The sequence below is a fragment of the Homo sapiens genome, chromosome 1 (assembly GCF_000001405.40).
Source record: "Homo sapiens chromosome 1, GRCh38.p14 Primary Assembly".
Lineage (NCBI taxonomy): Eukaryota > Metazoa > Chordata > Mammalia > Primates > Hominidae > Homo > Homo sapiens.
The window spans coordinates 37,870,813-37,888,821 of NC_000001.11; the positions used below are offsets into that span (position 1 = coordinate 37,870,813).

Below are 18,009 nucleotides of genomic sequence, written 5' to 3' on the forward strand. Positions count from 1 at the left end.
TACTGAAAAACGTGGTCACAGCATTTTGCAGCTTTTCTTTCCTATCAAGAAGTGGAGTTAGGCAGGGCATGGTGGCTCATGCCTGTAATCCCAACACTTGGTGAGGCCGAGGTGGGTGGATCAGCTGAGGTCAGGAGTTCGAGACCGGCCTGGCCAACATGGCGAAACCCCGTCTCTACTAAAAATATAAAAAAATTAGCTGGGCATGGTGGCATGCACTTGTAGTCCCAGCTACTGGGGAGGCTGAGGCACAAGAATCGCTTGCAACCTGGACGGCAGAGGTTGCAGTGAGCCCAGATCGTGCCACTGCACTCCAGCCTGGGTGACAGAGTAAGACTGTCTCAAAAAAAAAAAAAAAAAAAAGGCCGGGCGCAGTGGCTCATGCTTGTAATCCCAACACTTTGGGAAGCTGGGGCGGGCAGATCACCTGAGGTCAGGAGTTTGAGACCAGCCTGGCCAACATGGCAAAACCCCGTCTCTATAGAAAATACAAAAATTAGCCGGGTATGGTGGCGGGCACCTGTAATGCCAGCTACTTGGGAGGCTGAGGCAGGAGAATCGTTTGAACCTGGGAGGCAGAGGTTGCAGTAAGCCACGATCGTGCCACTGCACTCCAGCCTGGTGGACAGAGTGAGACGCCGACTCACAAAAGAAAACAAAACAAAACAAAAAAGGCCAGGCGTGGTGGCTTACACCTGCAATCCCAACACTTTGGAAAGCTGAGGCGGGCAGATCACGTGAGGTCAGGAGTTCAAGACCAGCCCGGCCGACATGGTGAAACTCCCTCTCTATTAAAAATACAAAAATTGGCTGGGTGCAGTGGCTCACGCCTGTAATCCTAGCACTTTGGGAGGCTGAGGTGGGCGGATCACCTGAGGTCAGGAGTTCAAGACCAGCCTGGCCAACATGGTGAAATCCCGTCTCTACTAAAATACCAAAATTAGCATGATGGCGGGTGCCTGTAATCTCAGCTACTTGGGAGGCTGAGATGGGAGAATTGATTGAACCTGGGAGACGGTGGTTGCAGTGAGCCAAGATGTGCCACTGCATTCCAACCTGGGTAGCTGAGTGAGACTCTGTTTCAAAAAAAAAAAAAAAAATTAGCTGGGTGTGGTGGTGTGCATGCCTGTAGTCCCAGCTACTAGGGTGGCAGAGGCAGGAGAATCACTTGAGCCCAGGAGGTGGAGGGTGCAGTAAGCTGAGATTGAGCCACCGCACTCCAGCCTGGACAACAGAGTGAGACTCCATCTCAAAAAAAAAAAAAAAAAAAAAAGCCAGGCGCGGTGGCTCATGCCTGTAATCCCAGCACTTTGGGAGGCCGAGATGGGCGGATCACCTGAGGTTGGGAGTTCCAGACCTGTCTGACCAACGTGGAGAAACCCTGTCTCTACTAAAAACACACAAAATATTAGCCAGGCGTGGTGGCGCATGCCTGTAGTCCCAGCTACTCAGGAGGCTGAGGCAGAAGAATCGCTTGAACCCGGGAGGCAGAGGTTACGGTGAGCCAAGATCACGTCATTGCACTCCAGCCTGGGCAACAAGAGTGAAACTCCGTCTCAAAAAAAAAAAAAAAAAAGAAGTGGAGTCTTTCTCCACTTGTAGAATCTAGTCTGGCTTCACAACTTGCTCTACCAATAAAACATGGCAGAAGTGGCCTTGTATGCATTTTGGAGCCTATGCTACAAAAGGCCTTACAGTTCTTCTCTCATGTTCTTGCCACTACCTACAGAAGACTGAGCTAGCCTTCTGAATGATGAGTCCATGTGGTGAGTGAAACCCAGAGAAAAGCTAACACCAAGACATGTGAGAGAGGCCATCTGGAGCCCTCCGGCCATCACAGCTGCCATCTGATTATAACCACACAAATGGGGCTAGGTGAGACAAGCAGAAGACCCACATGGGAAACCCACAGAATCATGAGGAGCAATAACTCGGTGTTAAAAACTACTAAAATTTCAGGATGGTTTGTAGCACAGCAATATACAGCTGATACACTAAGCAAGCTCTAGGAAGCTGAAGAGTTTCTAAGTCCCTAGGAAGGTAGGCATAGGAATATCTTGTTTGACTGGCTTGTCTGCTACAAAGTTCTAGATGTTTCTTTGTGGCATATTACTCACCAGCTCACTAATGGTTTCAAGTGGTAGGTCCAAGATTGGCTCTCTCATGTAACACAGTGTATGAATGGGAGACCCAAAACAGCTGGGCAGGTAGTTCCCAGACACAGACAAAAAGTAATCCTTTCCCCTGTCCAAGTGCAGAACCAGAATGTCCTCAATTTTGTCTTCACCCGAGTTGAGCTTTGTAGCTGTCATCTTATTTACGAAGAGCTCCAAGTCAATCTCAACATCAGAATCTGCAGAGAAATTTTAAAAATAATGTTGGCCGGGGGCAGGCCAAGAGGAAAGGGGAAAGAAGGCAGGAGGGAAGAGGGTAAGGCATAAAGGGTTAGGAAAAGGAAAGAAAAGGTATCAGCCAACCAACAAGCATCCAAATGTGCTTGGCATGCAGGAGACACAAGAACAAAGAGTTTATAGTCCAACTGGGAATATGAAAACAACAAACAAAAACATTTGAATAGACAAATGCTATAAAATTCAAGCACTAAGGAGCACAGCTCAAGCTAGAAATACTAACAGAATAAGAAGGCATGGATCAAAGAGCCTTCCCTGAGCCAGGTAAGATGAAGATGACTGACTCAGTAGAAGTGTAACGCAATTATCGGCCTGTGAATTGTCCACAAAACACCCTTCATTGTTCCATCACAGAGTACCATGCAGAGTGCGAAGGAGAAGTCGGGAAAAATGTGGATGGTACATTCCAGAGCCAGATATAATTTCTGGATTACTTCCCCATTATCAAGAGCAGATAATTGGGAGTTGATTATAGCAAGATAGTAAAATGGTTCCTTTAACAGCAGCACCTGCTATACAGCAATTTTATGTTTTCTCTTTCTGTGAAATTATGGAACACATAAATGACTGAGAATGCTTTTGAAACTGAACTCATGCTCCTCACTATTTTCTATTTTATTCATGAATGGGTTCATCTATAGGGCTTTTTAAAAAGCCTCAAGCAGAGAATAAAACACTCAAGCAAAAAGCTCATTTTAGGAAAATGAGCAAATATAGAGTAAGGCATTCCCCAAACCAGATACCAGGAAGCTAGGAACAGAGGCCTTACCTGGCAGGAGGAAGCCTCTGCTGGGGTTGGCATTCAGCCACTGCTTACAGTAAGACTCTTCATCAGGCTTGTTGATGAATTCAAAATGACAGGGTACTTGTCCATTATGAATTGTAAAGGATTCTACTTTCAATTGCATGTACTTCACATTCTGAAAACAGAACTGGGAAGAAGCCCGGGGCCAGTGAAAACCAGTGCCCTTTCCTCAGCAACCTGCCCAGCCACCCCAACTGGGCAGTCCTTACCATGGAAAGAAAATGAACCATCTCTTTTAAATGTTTCTGCTTTAAGTATCTACCTGGGAGGCCACAGTTCCCACTAAAGACTAGTTATCTGTGTTTAACCCAAAATCCAAAAATTCCGTTTGTTTTTGTATGTCTACTTCCTGAAGAAGTCAAAGTTTATATCTTCTATACCCAAAAACCATTTACAAAATACCCTTCACAAATTCCACTTCTAAACATGAAGATCAAGCCCATCCTTCCAAGTAGCTGGACATCTAGGGCATTAAAAATGCCATCTGCGGCTGCCACAGTGGCTCAGGCCCATAATCCTAGCAGTTTGGGAGGCCGAGACGGGCAGATCACTTGAGCTCAGGAGTTCAAGACCAGCCTGGCCAACATGGCAAAACCCCATCTCTACTAAAAATACAAAAATTAGCCAGGCATGGTGGCACAGCCTGTAATCCCAGCTACTGGGAGGCGGAGACAGGAGAATTGCTTGAACCTAGGAGGCGGAGGTTGCAGTGAGCCGAGATCGTGCCATTGCACTCCAGCCTGGGTGACAGAGTAAGACTCTGTTTAAAACAAACAAACCAAACAAAAAACGCCTTCACCTTAAACCCCAATTTGACTTTGTAGAATGTCAAGTGTGAGTGATCTTCCATGTGGCTCTTCCATGAAAAACCTTCAGACCATATTCAACTTCCTATATTACCTATTCCTTTTCTATACTGTCTTCCCTCCCATTAACTCATGGGTATCCAAACTCAATTTAATCTCAAAGCAAAGCATCAGTAAGAAGAAAAATCCATTGCAAGAATACACAATAGTTATTCTAAAATCAAAACACATTTTGAACCATATTCTGGTTTAGAAGAATAGGACATGATGACCTAAGCCAACAACCTCTCTCTTCTCAGCTAACACCATCAGCCTCACTTTATCGAAAAGCAGTCTATCAAGAAAGACCACAGTCCATAGTGCTATAGGTGCCTCCTAGAACTCTGAGCTCCAATAGATGAGGAGATTTAAGCTCTAGGAATAGAAGAGCCCAACACTAATCTTTTTTTTTTGAGATGGAGTCTCACTTGGTCGCCCAGGCTAGAGTGCAGTGGCGCGATCTCGGCTCACTGCAAGCTCCACCTCCCAGGTTCACGTCATTCTCCTGTCTCAGCCTCCCGAGTAGTTGGGACTACAGGTGCCGACCACCACGCCCGGCTAATTTTTTGTATTTTTAGTAGAGACAGGGTTTCACCGTGTTAGCCAGGATGGTCTTGATCTCCTGACCTCATGACCTGCCCACCTTGGCCTCCCAAAGTGCTGGGATTACAGGCGTGAGCCACTGCACCCGGCCTGAGCCCAATGCTAATATTCTTAACATGTCCTTCCTACCTCTCGCTTGGACAGGGACACAGAAGGAATGTTGGCATTTTCCATCTTATCCAGGGAGCGAACAATTTCCTCCAGTGTCTTCCGGTAAAGCTCGTCATTTACGACCCTCACCTGAAAGGGAAACATCAGAGACTGAGTACCTTGGCTTCTGCCCATTTCCTCTTTCTCAGTATAGACGGCATTCACAGCACTGGGAAATAGCAGTTGATAGCAACACAGAAAACAAAGGCTATAGATTTAGTTAATTAATGAACTCCATTAACAATTGACTTAGAAGGATCTGCCAGAGGCAAAGCTTGTGGTACAGGCATCTGCTTCCTGATTACCAGAAAAAAATACATGGAAGTGAAAGCATGGTTAGCAGTTAGTTCTGCCAGGTCTTAGGACCAGGGCAGAAAAATGCTTGCCCAGTACCTAGCTCTATTTTGCTTGCTGCCACCAACAGGCCAGCAGTGAGAACTTTTTCTAAGGCTTTGATTTAAAGCAGTGTTTCTCAAGTTTGTTTTTTTTTTTTTTTTGCAACAAGGTCTTGCTGTCACCCAGGCTGGAGTACAATAGAGTGATCTTGGCTCACTGCAACCTCCGCCTTCTGGGTTCAAGTGATGCTCCTACCTCAGCCCCCCAAGTAGCTGAGACCACAGACACAAGCCATCATGCCCAGCTAATTTTTTTACTTTTTGTAGAGATGAGGGGTTTTGCCATGTTGCCCAGGCTGGTCTTGAACTCCTGAGCTCAAGCAATCCACCCACCTCAGCCTCCCAAAGTGCTGGGATTACAGGTGTGAGGCATTGTAATGATAATAAAGAGCCACCACAGATAGATAATAAATAAATGAGAAGGCTCATGCCTGTAATCCCAGCACTTGGGGTAGCCAAGGCAGAAGGATCACCTGAGCCCAGGAGTCACTTGAGACCAGTCTGGGCAAGACAGCAAGATGCTGTCTCTTTAAAAAAAAAAAAAAAAAAAAAAAAAAAAAGGGCCCGGTGGCTCACGCCAGTAATCCCAGCACTTTGGGATGCCGAGGTGGGCATATCACGAGGTCAGGAGATCAAGACCATCCTGGCTAACACGGTGAAACCCCGTCTCTACTAAAAATACAAAAAAAAAAAAAAAAAAAACCATTAGCCGGGTGTGGTGGCGGGCGCCTGCCTGTAGTCCCAGCTACTCGGGAGGCTGAGGCAGGAGAATGGCGTGAACCTGGGAGGCGGAGCTTGCAGTGAGCCGAGATGGCGCCACTGCACTCCAGCCTGGGTGACAGAGCAAGACTCCATCTCAAAAAAAAAATTAGTCAGGTAAGGTGACACACACATACAGGCATGCCTGTAATCCTACCTACTGAGGAGGCTGATGTATGTGGGAGGATTGCTTAAGCCCAGCAGATTGAGGCCGCAGTTCGCTGTGACTGTGCCACTGCATCACTGCACTCCAGCCTGGGTGACAGAACAAAACAGTGTCTTTTGAAAAAAAACAAAAAGAAAAGGCTGGGAGCGGTGGCTCATGCCTGTAATCACAGCACTTTGGGAGGCCGAGTCAGGTGGATCACGAGGGCAGGAGATCGAACCCCATCTCTACTAAAAATACAAAAAAATAGCCAGACGTGGTGTAATGTGCCTGTAATCCCAGCTACTTGGGAGGCTGAGGCAGGAGAATCGCTTGAACCCGGGAGGCGGAGGTTGCAGCAAGCTGAAATCACGCCACTGCACTCCAGCCTGGGTGACAGAGCGAGACTCCATCTCAACAGAAAAAAAAAAAAAGGAAAGGAAGAAAAAGATGCTGATCTCATAGGTAATCAGGGAAATGTAATCTAACATGATAAAATATCTGCTTATTGGGTTGGCAAAAATTTTGAAGACTGATAAAACCCAATATTGACAAGGGTATGGGAAAATAAACTTATACATGGTTGGTAGAAGTATAAAGTGGTAAAACTGTTGTGAGGGTAATTTAGCAAGATCTAATAAATTTAAAATACATTTTTTATTTGAACCGCTAATTTCATCTCTAATAATTTCATTCTATAGAAATACACTGATACACAAACATACATGTGAAGGGTGGTCACAACAGCACTGTGTATAATAGCAAAACTTTGGAAATAACTTTATGATCATCAATACATACATTATGGCTCATCCATACTATGGAATACTTTGCAACCTTTAAAAATAATGAGAAGAAAGCTCTACCTTCACTGTCCTGGAAAGATCTCCTAAGACATATTCAGTCAGGGAAAAAAAGATGTCCTCAGAGCAAAATGTATAATATGATCTCTTTTACAAAAAAGGAAAAATATCCTCAATGTTGTATACACAATACTGACACACCCATTTATAAACGCATAGAGAAAGGTCTGCAAAGAGACAGTTCAAAAATGCAAAAGGGAACTTCCATGTATGAGGAAAAATGCAGAGGCATACTAAAACAATTATTAACCAAGTTGTTAATAATTGTTTTAAATTGTCCTAAAAGGGGCTTCTTCCCTCTCAAAAGGAGAGGAAGAAACCAGAAAGACAAGAAATGGTCTTAGTTGTGAAAGCCAATTCCCTCCAGAATGATTACAACAGGTACCAGCTGCCACCTACCCCGATGTCAAACACTGAGCTGACAGGCTTGTGGTCACTGGTCTTCAGGGCCATGTGGCTCTGGTAACTCAGCTGAGTGATGTTCTTCCCTTTCCAGAGAATCCGATCACACCAGGCAGGAGCACGGCACTTCTCACTGAAATGCAAAGTCCACACTGGAAGTACTCACAGAAACAGCAGTGCCCGCTGCCTGGCGAGTGCCCTGGCTCAGGTGGGGAGTGATGAATCAGGGCCTTCATGTCCATGTGGCTAAGTCATCTGAGGCAGCAAGAGCAATTCGGGCCCACCAAGGGATAACATGTATCCTGTGGGTATCATCCAAAACAACCATGAAAGCTCAAAGCCAAAACAGAGTTCAGACTGATTCTCTGATCTTTATCCTCCTATGAGAATCAGGAGAGAATTAAAAAACCAATCTGACAGTAAGCATGCTATGGTCTTTATTTTTTATTTTTATTTATTTATTTATTTATTTTTATAGAGATGGAGTCTTGCTCTGTCGCCCAGGCTGGAGTGCAGTGGTGTGATCTCAGCTCACTGCAACCTCCACCTCCCAGGTTCAAGCAATTCTCCTACCTCAGCCTCCCGAATAGCTGGGACTATAGGTGTGCACCGCCATGGCTGGCTAATTTTTTGTATTTTAGTAGAGGTGGGGTTTCACCATGTTGCCCAGGCTGGTCTTGAACTCCTGAGCTCAGGCAATCTGCCCGCCTCGGCCTCCCAAAGTGCTGGGATTACAGGCGTGAGCCACCGCACCCAGCCTATGGTCTTTAAAAGATCTTGGTTAAGGCCAGGCACGGTGGCTCACGCCTGTAATCCCAGCACTTTGGGAGGCCAAGGCAGGGGGATCATGAGGTCAGGAGGTCATGAGGTCAAGAGATTGAGACCATCCTGGCCAACATGGTGAAACCCCGTCTCTACTAAAAATACAAAAATTAGCTGGGCATGGTGGTGTGTGCCTGTAGTCCCAGCTACTCGGGAGGCTGAGGCAGGAGAATTGCTTGAACCCGGGAGGCAGAGGTTGCAGTGAGCCGAGATTGTGCCACTGCACTACAGCCTGGCGACAGAGTGAGACTCCGTCTCAAAAAAAAAAAAAGATGCTAGTTAAGAGAACAGCCTCTGAATTCCCACTGCCTGGGTTCAAATCCTACCTGTACCCCTTGTCTGCTTGGGGGCCTCTTTAATTTTTCTATGCTTCAGTTTCCAATCTCATAAAATGAGGTTAATAAATCATACCTACTTCAACAGGTTCTTGAGGATTAAATGAGAAAATAACAAGGGCATCAAATAGTACATGGCACATGGTAAGCACTAATAAAAATATTAACTACTGACTTTGGGAGGCTGAGGCAGGCGGATCACTTGAGGTCAGGAGTTCAAGACCAGCTTGGCCAACATGGTGAAACCCTGTCTCTACAAAATTAGCTGGGCCTGGTGGCACATGCCTGTAATCCTAGCTACTTGGGAGGATGAGGCAGGAGAATCGCTTGAACTCGGGAGGCAGGGGTTGCAGTGGGCCAAGATCCAGCCATTGTACCCTAGCCTGGATGACAGAGCAAGACTCTGTCTCAAAACAAACAAACAAACAAAAATATTAACTACTGTGTAATGTCCAAGTACCAGCTAAGTTAGTTGGAATCATCTCATCCTAGGCACAGCTAAAAAGTAAACCAGTATTAAAATTATGGAACAAAGGCTAAGGCAGTCACAAAGTTAATACATGGGAAAGAAGCCTGCTTCATGAGCAGATACTGAGAGAAAATGTTTGATCAGAGTGCAAAACATAGGGAAAAAGTCACAGGAAGCATATATTCTTCCTTAGGTCCAAAAGGGCAAGTACTTCCCAGAATTTCTGGGTTTCCGTTTGCTCAACCCTTTGAAGCAACCTCTGACCTACCTGGTATCCCAGTCGTCAGAGCCCGTATCATACTTGTAAGTAGGCTGGAATGTGAGCTCACCCTCTGTGAAGCCTTCAAAGACAGTCTTTGCGGCCACCTGAATTTTCAGCTATACAAAAGGATGGGAGAAAAAAAAATATCAGAATAAAAAGGTCAAACTTTGAATTAGTGGAGAAAAGCATATCAATCTGGAATTCAAACTCTAACCCAAAGGAAAAAGCCCCAAAAGAAAGTTATTCTGTAAGATCTTAAGTTAGCTAACTCCTAGGAAGTGGACAAGCTGACCACTCTTTTGCCTGTATATGGTTTTTATTTTTTATTTTTTAAGTTTTTAATGTTTTATTTATTTATTTATTTATTTATTTATTTTGAGACGGAGTCTCGCTCTGTCACCCAGGCTGGAGTGCAATGGCGCAATCTCGGCTCACCGCAACCTCCACCTCCCAGGTTAAAGTGATTCTCCTGCCTCAGTCTCCTGAGTAGCTGGGATTACAGGCGCATGCCACCACGCCTGGCTAACTTTTGTATTTTTAGTAGAGACAGAGTTTCACCATGTTGGCAAGGCTGGTCTCGAACTCCTGACGTGATCCACCCACCTCGGCCTCCCAAAGTGCTGGGATTACAGGCGTCAGCCACAGCGCCTAGCCTAATGTTTTTTATTTTTCAGTCTCACTCTGTCACCCAGGCTGGAGTGCCATTGTGCGACCATAGCTCACTACAGCCTCCATCTCCTGGGCTCAGGCAATCCTCCTGCCTCAGCCTCCCAAGTAGCTGGGACTGCAGCTGTGCAACACCACACAGCTATATTTAAAAATCTTTTAGAGGCAGGGTCTCACTATATTGCCTAGGCTGGTCTCAAACTCTTGGCCTCAAGTGATCCTGCCGCCTTGGTCTCCCAAAGTGTTGGGATTGCATGTGCAAGCCATTGTGTCTGGCTAAGGCTCTTTCATAAGAGCATAGCTACACCCAAAGGGCCTGAGTATCATCTTACTGAGATATCTTTAAGAGGATTAGGTACCACTTAACAAACTAATAGTTTTTCTCTTCCAGGTATCAAACACTTCATCTGTGTAGCACAGTTGCTCCAAATATACATAAAGATAGAACTGCGTTGTCAAATTAGTTATGCGAACTGGGGGAAGCTCTGTGCCTTGGTTTCTCCATCTGTAAATTTTGGATTTATAATAGAATCTACCTCATAGGGTCTTTAGAAAGATTCACTGTCAACTTAAACAGTGCCTGACACATTAGGAAAACAGCTAGCATCCTTCCTATTAATTTTAGGAGCGCCTTCCAGATCACACTCTCAGCAAGATCAAAACCACAGGTGCTCTTCCCTCTTCCCTGGAGCACCACACTTGGCACTACACGGACTGGTGAAGAACTATCAGCTCTAACATTGCACATGGTCAGCTATTTAGTAGATACTACTTGCCAAATTCCTGAAAAAACTATTTAAAAAGCAACAGAAAATAGTAAAAATGTAGGTATGAATGTAAGCTGACCCTTACATATAGAGCTTAAAACCATGTGGTAGGCAGATAACACACAAAATGGGTACAACTACTTCAGGAAAGACCAGAAAAGAAGGCAAGTAGAGATGGGTATCAAACTACAAGAGAAATTAGAATGCCTCAGACCAGAACACAGAGGAGATAAACAGAGAAAGACATAACTAAGTTGAGAATCTTTTTCTTTAATTAATCTGCACTGGGGAAAAAAAGATAATAGAGGCTGGGCGCGGTGGCTCATGCCTGTAATCCCAGTGCTTTGGGAGGCTGAGGTGGATGGATCACGAGGTCAGGAGTTCGAGACCAGCCTGGCCAGCACGGTGAAACCCCGTCTTTACTAAAAATATAAAAAATTAGCCGGGCATACTGGCACGTGCCTGTAGTCCCAACTACTTGGGAGGTTGAGGCAGGAGAATTGCTTGAACCCAGCAGGCAGAGGTTGCAGCGAGCTGAGGTCACAACACTGCACTCCAGCCTGGGTGCCAGAGCAAGACTCTGTCTCAAAAAAAAAAAAAAGATAATAGAAAGATTTAGACTAATGACAATACTAAGGTTACTAAAAGGGAGGATATAGAACAACAACAACAAAAAAGGACTTTAACATTCTGAACAACCTGACCACCTGAACAGGTCTGAAATCTACTGAAAGAAGTAGCCAGAAGAAAGTCACAGGGAAACAGATTCTCTTGTACTGTGAAACAGCGAGTGCTCTGAGAAGGAAACGCTACGTCAAGCAATGATGGAGAACAGCAGGTTACAGAAGTGATTCCTACAGAAAGTGAGGAAAGCCACTTGGGAAGAGCTGTCACTCACACTAGAGAAGTGTGGTGACGAGAAGCACAGAGGAGAAGGAGGCTCATTCTAAAAACAATTATTACATCATCTTAAATATACCAAGTCCTTTCTTTATAGAAGCTTGGTACTCTTTTAGCCCTAACTTCAGACCTCTTGAATAAATGAATGACAAGGTGAGAGAGAGAACATGCTCTTGCTCCCACAGGAGACAAGGTGCTTCAGGAGAGAGCCAATGGGGAGACAACTATGGAAGAGGGAAATGCAGATGAAATGAAGAAATGACTGGACAACATCAGGAACTCAGGGAAACCTCCCAAGCCAAGGAGGAAGAGGCTGCGAGTTTGGAAGCCAGGCTTTTCTGTGCCCTCATGGTGGAGGACAGCTGCTGGAAGAGGGCACAGGTGGCCATCTGTACCTGATCATATGCATACAGCATTTGAAAGTCCTTCTCTTCGATGAGCTTTTTCACTTTTTCCACATCCAGCTCTTCTATCCTGTAGTTGAGGTCCCCCAGCCACAAGATCACACTGTGAGGACAGAGCACAAAGGTAACAGGGTTTAGGAGGAACTTTAACCTGATCTACCCAGGGTGCTTCTGACAAAGGCCCCTGAGGCTCAGCCTCTTGGGAGGTGGGTGGGAAAATGGCTCAACTGTTCGGAAAATTTTTTTCTCTCGCCATCCCATTTAATAATCTAATGTGATGCTTGCTCAATTATCTTGGTCCAAGTTCATTATAAACAGCCTTGTGTTCTCCTTAGCTATTTTATTCTTGTAGGTTGGAAAGACAGTCTAATAAGATCTAAAAGATAGTAATTTACCCCATTCCTGGGAAGAGGGAAAAAAAATCAAGAATTGAGAGTCACGCCAATCACCCAGAGATCCCAAATCAGATGATGCCACGATACCACCTCTGCCTCTGTGTATACTGCAACCCACAAAACACACTCTCAGCCTTTGTTTCTAGAGCAGAGTTCCTCTGAAACAAAGTTCAAACTTTATAGTGGAGCCTGGATTTAACCAGCAGTATATCATTGGTTGGCTCTTTCTGTACTGCAGAGTGGAGTGTAGAAGGTGTTTGATTCCTTCTGCTGCTTTGGGAAAAAGCTAACTGAAGGCTCCCTGATGACACTGTACATCTCATTAAGTCTAATACTGCTGTATCTGAAGCCAACAACCATGTCATTAGAGAATCTGCACAGCAGTACACGCACACCAAAATTAATGCATCCACAAACTAAAAGCAGACAAACTGACACATAAGCTGCGACCTCACAAACTAGGATGCTGCAGGTTCACCAGAATGGAAGAGCTCGGCTGCAAGACACTCCCTGCTAGGCTCCCTGGAGAAGAAAAACCATCCTGTCAGCTTCCAGAACACCAAAATGCTCCAGATAGTTCCACCTCGGCAGGCAGGACAAGAGGCGTTAACTCTGTTTACTCCTTGGCAGATATCACGGCCCCAGTGGCTTCTTCCTCTTTATAAAAGAAGTGGCGTATGTTATCATAAAGTCTAAAATTCTAAGGCTTTGACTTTAGACAAAGAGGAAGTTGTAGAGATAAATGAGATAAAGTAAAGAGAAGAAACAAAAATGAGCACAAGATGCTCTCAGAAGCTGCAACTATATCTTTGTAAAGTTGAATTAAGAGGAAAAAAAGACCAAGTGGAGGCAAACAAATGTAGTCCAACTCTCAATTATACATGCTCTGGAAAGAACAGACAAATAAAATCCTAAAACATACTTCTAAAAACTGGGTTTGAGATGCTCATTCTTTGGTTGTTTTCTTCATAATGTTGGAGGTAGGCAGACCCAAATTAAAATAAATCTTTAAAAAAAAGAAATCTTAAGCAGAACTCAGACTACAATATAGCCGTCAACTGCTGTTTTGTCATATTCTCTGCTCAAAATAAACTTTTCCTTCTCCTTTCTCCTCTCCTTTCCTTTCTTTTTTCTTTTCTCCTCTCTTTGTCTTTCCCCTCCCCTTCCCTTTCTCTTATCTTCCTGCCTCAGATTCCTGAGTAGCTGGGATTACAGGCATGCAGAATCACACCCAGCTAATTTTTAAATTTTTTTCAGAGACAGGTTCTTACTATGTTGCCCAGGCTAGTCTTGAACTCCCGGGCTCAATCGATCCCCCCACCTCAGCCTCCTAAAATGCTGGGATAACAGGCATGAACTACTGCACCCAGCCTCACTTTCTTCTTATTTCTGGCTGCTATACTATAGCAGCCAGGGATTCTCACACATGTTGATAAAATTAAATACTGAAAAAACAAATGGCCGGGCGTGGTGGCTCATGCCTGTAATCCCAGCACTTTGGGAGGCCGAGGTGGGCGGATCACGAGGTCAGGAGTTTGAGACCAGCCTGGCCAACATGGTGAAACCCCACTCTCTACTCAAAATACAAAAATTATCCAGGCCTGGTGGCACGCACCTGTAGTCTCAGCTACTCGGGAGGCTGAGGCAGGAGAATCATTTGAACTGGGAGGTGGGGGTTGTGATGAGGCGAGATTGCGCCACTGCACTCCAGCCTGGGAGACAGAGCAAGACTCCGTCTCAAAAATAAATATATAAATAAATAAAACTTATACCTTCCCAAGGACACATGATGCTTGAGAAAGACTCTAGAGTGTGCTTGCTTTGGCAGCACATATACTAAAATTGAAATGATACAGAGAAGATTAGCATAGTCCCTGAGCAAGGATGACATGCAAATAAAAATTTAAAAATAAAATAAGAAGGCCGGGCACGGTGGCTCACGCCTGTAATCCCAGCACTCTGGGAGGCCGAGGTGGGCGGATCATGAGGTCAGGAGATTGAGACCATCCTGGCTAACACAGTGAAACCCCGTCTCCACTAAAAAATACAAAAAATTAGCCAGGCATGGTGGCAGGCGCCTGTAGTCCCAGCTACTCAGGAGGCTGAGGCAGGAGAACGGTATGAACCTGGGAGGCGGAGCCTGTAGTGAGCCTAGATCACGCCACTGTACTCCAGCCTAGGCGACAGAGCGCGACTCCATCTCGAAAAAAAAAAAAGTAAGAAAAGAGAAAGACTCAAGAGATCTGCCAGATAGCAAGTTAGGAAACTAAATATTTTCAAGAGATATAATCCATGTATAACCAAGAGGTGGGAGCTACCACCATTGCAGCAATAGGAAACCACCACCAGGCATCTCCCCATGAAAAGACAGAGCCCACAACTCTATGTACTCATGGTGAACCGCATGGGGTGGAAGCCCAGACTCACTCATGGTTGCTGATGGTGAGAGGGGGAAGGCTTGGGTCAGGCTGACAAAACTGCATTCGAGAACAAATGTCCTTATAGTCCTGGTTCCTCCTCTCATACTCTTCAATGTGGGCTGCCAAGTGAGAATTCACAACGCAGATGCTGGTGTTGTGGAACTGGAACCTGATCGCCACGCCTCCCTTGTTGCCCTATGGAAAGGATCCCCAAAGAAATCCAATTCAAACTTAATTGTGTCAGTCACTTAAACCTACAAACTTTCTGGCCGGGCACGGTGGCTCACGCCTGTAATCCCAGCACTTTGGGAGTCCGAGGCGGGTGGATCATGAGGTCAGGAGTTCAAGACCAGCCTGGCCAAGATGGTGAAACCCCGTCTCTACTAAAAATACAAAAATTAGCTGGGTGTGGTGGCAGGCGCCTGTCATCCCAGCTACTCGGGAGGCTGAGGCAGAGCACTGGTTGAACGCGGGAGGGAGAGGTTGCAGTGAGCTGAGATCACGCCACTGCACTCCAGCCTGGGAGACAGAGTGAGACTCCATCTCAAAAACAAACAAACAAAAAAAAAACCCTACAGACTTTCAAAATGTTTTGTCTTAATCTTTATAATAATCCTGTGGTATTATCTATATTGTACAGATTAAAAAAAAAAAGAAGGCAGAATGACTAGCCAGTCAATGGCAAAGCTGAATCCACAACCTAACTCTCTCGAACTCCTGGCCTCAAGTGATCCACCCACCTCAGCCTCCCAAAGTGCTGGGATTACAGGTGTGAGCCACCACACCCAGCCCCAAAACCTAGCTCCCTTAATCCAGTGTTCTTTTCACTAAATCACAGGCAAACCATAGGTACCCTTTGAAAACACAAAGCTAAGCTCTCACAGAAGAACCTAAAAACAGAACTTTAATGGCCTCAATAAGAAGAGGAAATTGCAAACCTACTGTCAGCATTCTTTGTTTTTCTGAATGACCCAGCATAGTTTCTGCAACATACTTCATGGGTGAAATGGGAGGATCAACTGGAGGCTCTAGTGTTGGGGAATATGAGGACAGGCGCTAATTGGTTAAATCAGCAGGTAGTTCACTAAAACAGTTTCTAAATAGTTTGCTCGACTGAGCCCTGCTTGAGGGTATGATTCATCTTGGAATATTGGCACCTTCAAACTGGGACACGTGTAGTCACTGTGTCATCAGAAGTGGTCAATACCTCAGGAGCTAAGGTCCTCAATGTGCCAAACAAACCAACCAAGGACTCACCATCCTCCCCATGATTCCTGTCCCCACAGTCTCGGCTTCCACTTCTGAGATATAAGCTGCATGCTCCTGTTTGACATATAACAGCAGCATAATCCCAACCAGTCGGATAAGCTTCACCTGGAAAAGAGAGACATGGCATTAAATAGAAATTGCAAACAGGAATAAATACCCCAAAGGAAACATAGTCTGGAAGCTGGCTGAGAGTATTCACGTGTCTCCTTCTCCACACTAGAACACAGGTAATCATCTGTTCAATTCACCAAGCATGCTATGTGCTAACCTACGAGTGGCGAGACCCTGCATCTTTCCCACCCGGAGGCACCCCTTCTGGAAGATCTGGAAATGAAAATTGCGGGATAATTAAGACTGGCTTAAGATAAAGGTCATGGAAAAGGTGAAAAATGATCTTGGAATTTCCCTGCATGGCAACATAAAATTAAGAGGTCCCTGACTCCTCTCTTACCTTTGCATATTTGGCATCTGGATGAAGACCCTCTGACACAGCTTTGAACCACTCTTCCTCCTTTGGGGTATCGTGAAAGAAAAAAGCTTCCTTACTCAGATCAAGCTCCTGGAACCTATTTTGAGAAGCAACCAGTTAGATAGTAAAGAAAAGTAATGTGCAAATGACACATTCTCAGATTGGTTTAGGTGCATAAGCCCTAGCTTTCTAGCTAAACTTCAGGACCCTCAGGAGGAAAAAATAAACATTTAGAGCCAAGGAACTAAATGCCAAGGAACTTTGCAGGTGCTGTTGCAAACAAAAACCCATTTTCTTTTCATGACCAGCCTATGAAGTAGTTCGAAGTGTCCCTATTTTACATCTGTAACCCCTAGTTCACACAAGCACCAAGTGGCAAACTGGGATTCAAACCTTGGTCTACATAAATTATGAATTCTAGTTCTTTTCAATATACCATACAAGCTTTGCTGCCCCTCCCCACTAGTAATGCCCAGTATAGAGATGAGAAGATTAAAAAAAAAAAAGACTAACTGATGGGACTTTCTTCAGCTAACCTTTCTTCTCTGGCAGAAGATAGTTTTGCTTTGTAACCAAAAATGTATTGAATGTCCAAGCAATAAAGTTCAGTTCAGGATGCACTGAGTTCAGGATGCAATTCAGGATTTTAACAGAAGATTACACTAAAAATTAAATACTAGCACTTAAATGCCAAGCACCCCACTTTAATAGTGGCAGACATTTGCTTGCCATGAGGAAGAACATCAAACAGGGAAACAGCTGTTATCAGGCATCTGTTCATTTTTCAAATCCTTCACCTGTTGTGAAGACCCATCCTTCAACCACAGCTCTGTGTGCTTGAAGATGGAGAGGGGACTAGAAGAGAAGCACTCACCCTACACAATAGACATCTGGGGCCTGGATACCATTGCTCAGCCACAGCCGGAGGCATTCTTTGGGGGACTGCCCATTTACATTGTATGTTCCCGCAAAAAACCTGTCACCAAAGAGAAATAATTAGTGACTCCGAATCACTATGGAGATAACAGGAGAAAGCATTTTATGCTGATTTATGCTGGTTTCCGTCTCTGTGGACTGGCATTTTGAGACATAAGAAATGTCATTTCTAACCTAGACCAGGACTGCAGCACCAAGGAGTGACTTGCGGTCTGTCATGGTATCTGTTACTTTTGTGATAACAACTTCAAATAGTATAGGCCTACTCCGAACATTCCCACTTCCTTTAAACAGCCATTACCCAGGCATTATCTGCATAATTATTTGCCTTGTATATACTACTGAAATGAAAAAATGAAAAGTGCTTTGGTAATTACTTTTGGCAAGAAAGCAACACCAGTATTCAAAAGGCTATTTCTTCACCATAATTCACAGTTTGTATCCCTAGAAACAATGTTATTTTATCTTATAGTCCCAATGCAACGATTTTGAAAGATCTAGCAGAATCCCACAACCT

At 44.8% G+C, this 18,009-nt stretch overlaps 1 protein-coding gene and 1 pseudogene across 21 annotated transcripts in view; one reads left to right on the forward strand and one right to left on the reverse strand.

Moving 5' to 3' along the window:
• The window catches only part of INPP5B (inositol polyphosphate-5-phosphatase B), an 86,361-nt gene that overhangs the window by 10,116 nt on the left and 58,236 nt on the right, over positions 1 to 18,009 (reverse strand). For 16 of the 21 annotated variants that reach the window (XR_946643.3, XR_007059978.1, XR_007059977.1 and 13 more), the window contains 10 exons: positions 17,431 to 17,532; positions 16,539 to 16,653; positions 16,076 to 16,192; positions 14,826 to 15,013; positions 11,995 to 12,106; positions 9,273 to 9,382; positions 7,376 to 7,511; positions 4,794 to 4,904; positions 3,181 to 3,343; positions 2,118 to 2,353 (listed from right to left, as the gene is read on the reverse strand). Coding sequence is in view for 13 of the 21 variants with exons in the window: in NM_001365825.1 (NP_001352754.1) it covers positions 2,118 to 2,353; positions 3,181 to 3,343; positions 4,794 to 4,904; positions 7,376 to 7,511; positions 9,273 to 9,382; positions 11,995 to 12,106; positions 14,826 to 15,013; positions 16,076 to 16,192; positions 16,539 to 16,653; positions 17,431 to 17,532 (1,390 nt within the window). In the remaining 8 variants the exon portion in view is untranslated. Of the gene's footprint in view, positions 1 to 2,117; positions 2,354 to 3,180; positions 3,344 to 4,793; positions 4,905 to 7,375; positions 7,759 to 9,272; positions 9,383 to 11,994; positions 12,107 to 12,848; positions 12,921 to 14,825; positions 15,014 to 16,075; positions 16,193 to 16,538; positions 16,654 to 17,430; positions 17,533 to 18,009 lie in introns of those variants that run through there. The other 5 variants (NR_158629.1, NR_158631.1, NR_158630.1 and 2 more) reach the window with 4 other exon arrangements.
• RNU6-584P (RNA, U6 small nuclear 584, pseudogene) lies at positions 14,211 to 14,305 on the forward strand (annotated as a pseudogene).